Below are 6,120 nucleotides of genomic sequence, written 5' to 3'. Positions count from 1 at the left end.
TAAAATAAGACTTTTCTTTTTATCAACATATTCTCTTTTCTTTTGGTTTTCAACAATTTTACATTGAATAGCAAGATGTGCTTTCATTTCTACATATTTTCTTTGGATTAATTGTGGCTTTTTACATCTGTGATTTCATGTCTTATATCACTTTCAGAATATGTGCATCCATTGTTTCTTTAAATATTGTCTTTTTTCCCTTTGCTCTCTCTCTCATCTTTCTGAGAATACAATATATGCATCGTACTTTTTTTACTTTCATATATTCCACATGACTCATTCTGTTTTCTATCTTTTTCTATCCCATTTTTTTGTATTTCACTATAGATATTTTCTTCTGATTTATTTTATGATACACTATTTATCTTTTTTTCTTTGTTCAGTAAGATGTTGAGGAAACCTATTATCTAATTGCATTTATCATTTTTTCTTTTCCATTCTTTTGTTGTTTGTTTTGAATAATTTTCAGTTATCTACTTAAGTCTTTCAGATTGGCACTTCTTAAACATACTATTTATACTTATTTAAAGGATGTGATTGATAGTTCTAATATCTGGATCCTCTTCGTTGTATTCTTTTGTTTGTTAACTTTCACCTTTTTATGTACCTGAGTATTTTAGATTGAATACACAAAGTCTGGGAACATATACAAGTAATTTAAGGAACTCGGTGATGTTATTTTCCTCCAGAAAGGATTTACTTTTTATTCCAATGAGGCAGTTTAAAGAAGGAATATGACCTAATTCAATCAACCACTGAGCTAATTCAAATTCAGGCTTCATTCTTTGTGAGGTCTGGCATATTTTTGGTTTTCTCCTATGTTTATATTCACATTCCTTACTATCATGTTTCAGGAGTCCTAACTAAAAGCCTGGAGGTTTCCTAGCATTCTTATTTCACAGTGGGCCATGAACACAGGGTTTTTCTCTATAGCCCCATGAGACATTTGGAAGCTATGCTCAGTATCTCAGCTTTTCAGTCATTACTTTTTAGTCAGCTCTTCAGGTTCTCATCTGCATCCTTTAAATCAATAATTTTCTGGAAGAAAAAAAGAACACCAAATTTTAGATTACTTCTTCAGGCATTCTATTTCTCAAAGACCTTGACAACTCAATAACTCACTTTCTTGACTTCTGTCTGATGTGTCCTTAAGATAAATGCTTTTTCATATTTTTATTTTTTTTTCTAGTTCTTCTCAGTAAGTTGATCTATTACAATATTGGCAGAATCCGAAATCTGACTATTTTGCTCTATAATATACTGATATAGTTTGGATATTTGTCCCCTTCAAACCTCGTGTTGAAACGTGATCCCCAATGTTGAAGGTAGAGCCCTGTGGGAGGTGCTTGGGTCACGGGGGCAGGTCTCTCATGAATGGCTGGGTGCCCTCCCTATGGTAATGAGTTACTATGAGAGCTGGGTGTTTAAAAGAGCCTAGCACCTACCCTGCTTTCTCGTGCCCCCTTTCCCATGTTATGCACCTGCTCTATTTTCATCTTCTGCCATGATTATAGTCTTTCTGAAGCCCTCACCAGAAGCAGACACTGATGCCATGCTTGTACAGCCTGCAGAATACTGACCAAAATAAACCTCTTTTTTAAAATAAAGTACCTAGTCTCAGGTACTCCTTTTTAGCAACACAAAACAGACTAACACATACCCTTTCAGGAGAAGTGGTTTTATTATGTTTCATTTTCACTTAAGATCTAAAGTTTGTTTGTAAGTTGCTCAATGTACTTTTTGGTTCGTGCCAGCTGATAAACATAATCATCAATCAATATTTAGAAAAGCTGAATCAGATATTTTAGACGCTACTTTTTAAAAATGTATTTTATAGGTTTGACGTACAAATTGGATATATCCATAACACCATATTAAGGTTATAATGCGCAGCATAGGATAGATGGTATTCCAGTTATTTATTGATGCATAACAACCCTTCTCCCTAAAATTTAGCAACATAATCCAACAATAACTATTTTGATTTGCAATCCACAATAATATGAGCAGAGCTGAGGGAAGAAAGTTTGCTTCTACTTTCATGGTGTCATTTGGGGCAAAGACTGAGAGCTCCCTCACAGTATATCTGATGGTTGATATGGGCTGTTGACTAGTACAACTGGGGCTGTTGGCTGGAACACTTCCATGCCTCCCCTCCACATAGCAGAATGCCTTCTTTATAGCATGGTTGCTGAGTTTCTAGAGTAACCAACTCAAGAGGATTGTCTTTTATAAACAAGTCTTAGATGTCACATGGCATCACTACTGCCATTGTCAGGAGTCCAGCCTAATAAAAGGGTAAAAAAATCATAGATCCCTACCTTTCTATGGTAAGAGTGTAAAAATTATATTCTAAGAGATGTAAAAGGGATAAGAAATAGTGTTGTGGCCATTTTGGAAAAATGTAATCTGCTATATTTTTCAGAAAATCTGTGATTAGGTCAGCTTTCTGAAAATATATTGTATTTGAAATCTTATAATGGTGTTAACCTTTTAAAGATCCTGATAAAAATCTTTAATTAATTTTTAATTATTCCTATAGAGAAAATCAATCTCTAATTTTAAATTTATAAAAATGAGATTTCTCTTAAACTTGGTTAAACTTGGTTAAAGCTCATACATATGTATCTTATCTCCAAGAAACCATTATTTATTTTAATACTCTAATTTTGCCATGAATTAATTATATCCTTCTATCTATTTTTTCTAAGAGTTATAGATTATTTTGATGAGGGCTGTCATTGGCACTGAGTGTCAAGAGCATTGTTAAACCTGCTTCAATTATTTTGTGCTACTTAGATTTTTGTAAGTGCATCTACCACATAGACAGCATGTTTGTTGTCAGAACTTGAGATGTGCATTTAAGAAGCTCTCTGAAGTATCTTCCAGTTCAAAAATATCATCTAGCCAATGTTTTCTTTATATAGTCTCTTGAAAATGCTCACTAAATACCTTCAAATTTCCAAGAAGTGGGAAATTTTCTCTAATATTTAAGTATATAAGACAGTCAGAAAACTCCACAGAAGTCTAATGGAAAATATAACAATAGTGCTTATATGACAAGATTGCAATAGACTAGCACATGCTTCAGTCTGTTGCATGCCTCAGTTTCCCTTCAAAAGATGGGGATGACTGACAAAAAAAAAGGAAGTTCTGTTTTACCTTACCATCATATGTTTCCTAATTCTGAGACCCACGATTGTGCTGACAAGAGGAATAACTATAACTCGTGGGTGATGCAATGTGGGACTGGAAGTGTGTAGCCTCCTGCCTTCTCTCCACCCTGTAACAGTTGCACTGGCTGCATTGTTAAAACAAACAAACAAACAAAGGCTACAAAGTTCATAAAAACTGCCAGGCAGGAAATGGAAGCTGATTGGTGGTAGCAGCGTGCCCTGGGGACTTCAAGTGGAGGCTGAGATAGAAAAAAACCTTAGAGCATAATGAAAATAGGAAATGTTAGACGTGAATTAAGGGTAGGAAGGAAATGCCACCTCAATAGGTCAGGGAGGCTTTTGATTGGTTGACTGTATAAAAAAGAAAAAACTGAACATGGCTATAATTAACTAAATTATAGCAAAAGAGAGTAGAAACAAATCTACCAATTACCACAAACAACAGTCCAGATCCTCCATCTCCATTTACAAATACAAAGATCATCAGAAGTAATTAAACACCCTAAATTATTCATGAGTCAAAATAGAATGTAAAACTGCAATTACAGGTTAAGAACATGTACCTACAATGAGAAAAGTACACATGAAACATAATTAAAATTGTAATCAGACAAGCAAAGCCCTTAAACTATATTTAAATAAAGTATAAATGTTAAAATTTGTAACGAAATTCTGGAAAAAAAATGGTAGATAAACAAGTAGGTAGGAAGAAGAAAATAACAAAAGATAGAATTTTTAGTATTTTTATTAAAAAATATATTAGTAATATTTTACTAATAAAAAATAAGGCATTAAAACACTAAATTGAACAGGTAATTCCTTGAATGTATCCATAAAATAAAATTATATTGTGTCAAAATAATTGCAATAATAAATGAAATAGATAATTTTCTAAAAATATATAAATTTCTAAAATTGACTTATCAGGAAAATTTTAGAGCATTTTATGTATCTGTGTGTGTGTGTGTTCATATATGTGTGTGTGTATGTATAAAATGATGAGTGAGGGAATGAATAGTAGATGAATGAATCTAGAAAGTTATCCGTCAATTGTCGAAAATTAATCTCTTCCTGAGTAATAAAATTAGGGTTGAATTTTATTTTCTTGAAAAGTAGTAGTAATAAATTCTTTGAAAACACAAAAGCACTTAAATTTGAAAAGAAGCAAAAGTATCTTTATTTACAGATGATAGAATCCCACATATAGAAAATCTCAAAGAATAAAAGTTACTAGAGTTACTAAATTCAGCAAGTTGCAAGGTACAAGATAAAGACACAAAAATCAGTTAATGTTTCTGTACACCAGCAAAGAACAATCAAAAAGGAAATTTAAAAAAGCATTTCCATGCACTATAACATCTAAAATAATAAAATACCTAAAAAGAATTTTTACCAAAAATGTGAAAGACTTATACACTGAAAACAACAAAATATTGCTTAAAGAATTTAAAGAAGATCTAAATAAATTGAAAGACATCTCATGTTTATGAATTGGGTGACTTAGTATTGTTAAGATGACAATACTATGCAGAGTGAGCTACAAATTAATTCAACCCCTATAAAAATTTTAAGCCATTTTGCAGAACTGGAAAAGCCAAACCTCAAATTCATATGGAATTTCAAGGGGTCTCGAATAGTCAACACAATCTTGAAAAATAAGAACAAAATTGGAGGAATCCCACTTGATTTCAAAACTTTCTACAAAGCTACAGTAGACATCTCTAACCAATTGATTTTTCAACAAGGGTGCCAAGTCCATTCAGTGGGGAAATAGTCTATTCAACAAATGCTGCTTGGACAACTAAATTTTCACAGGCAGAAGAATGAGGTTGGACCCCTATCTCACACCATATTAAGAAAAAGAACTCAAAATAGATTAATGACTAAATGTAAGAGTTAAAACCATAAAATTCTTAGAAGAAAATATACTGGTAAATCTTCATAATTTGGGATTTAGCAATGAGTTCTTAGACATGACACCAAAAGCACAGGCAACAAAATAAAAAAATAAATTAAACTTCATCAATATTAACATTTGACACATCAAAGGACACTATCAAGATATTAAAAAGACAACCTACAAAATTGGAGAAAGTATTTGACAAACATATATCTGATAAGAGTTTACTAGCCAGAGTGTATAAAGAACTCAAAAATTTAACAACAAAGATACAATTTGATAAAAATGAGCAAAATACTTGAATAGATAGCTTTCCAGAAAAGATATACTAATGGCCAATAAACACATGAAAAGATTCCCAACATCATTAATCATTAGGAAGATCCATATCAAAATCACTATGAGAAACCACTTTACACTCACTAGCCTGGCTATAATTTTTTTAATTGAAAAATAACAAATGTTGGTAAGGATATAAAAAAATTGGAAACCTCTACATTGCTGGTGGATATATAAAAAATTATGTAGCCACTGAAGAAAACATTTGAGTGGTTTCTCCAAAAGCTAAACATATAATTATTATATCATCCAGATATTTCACACCTAAGAATACACCCAAAATAATTAAAAGCAAGTACTCAAAAAGATGTGTTCATAGCAGCATTACTCACAATATACAAAAGGTGGAAATAACTCAAGCATCTGTCAACAGACTAACGGAAAATTAATGCCTGGACCATGGAATATTATTCAGCTGTAAAACGGAATTAAGTCTTGTTATATGCTACAATATGGACAAAACTTGAAAACAGTATGCAAAGCAAAATAAGCCAGACACAAAAGAACAAATACTGAAAAATTTCACTTATATAAAGGATCTAGAATGAGCAAAGAGACAGAGAAAGAAAGTATATTAGCAATTACCAAGGGCAAAGAGAGGAGAGAATGGGATGTTACTGCTTAATGGTTGAAGAGTTTCTGTGTAAGGTCATTAAAAATTTCAAGAAATAGTGGTGATGTTTGCACAATGGTGTGAATGTACAC

General features: G+C 32.1%; 1 long non-coding RNA gene across 1 annotated transcript in view; it reads right to left on the bottom strand.

The window, feature by feature from the left end:
• Positions 1 to 428: 428 nt before the first annotated feature.
• LOC105373640 (uncharacterized) overlaps positions 429 to 6,120 on the bottom strand; it is a 58,027-nt gene continuing 52,335 nt past the window's right edge. Inside the window, exon 3 of the long non-coding RNA XR_923371.2 lies at positions 429 to 1,038. This is a non-coding gene — a long non-coding RNA (uncharacterized LOC105373640). The remainder of the gene's footprint in view (positions 1,039 to 6,120) is intronic.

This window comes from Homo sapiens, chromosome 2 (assembly GCF_000001405.40).
Source record: "Homo sapiens chromosome 2, GRCh38.p14 Primary Assembly".
NCBI lineage: Eukaryota > Metazoa > Chordata > Mammalia > Primates > Hominidae > Homo > Homo sapiens.
Note: the sequence above shows the minus strand (reverse complement) of the source record. Positions and strands in the feature narration are given on the sequence as shown.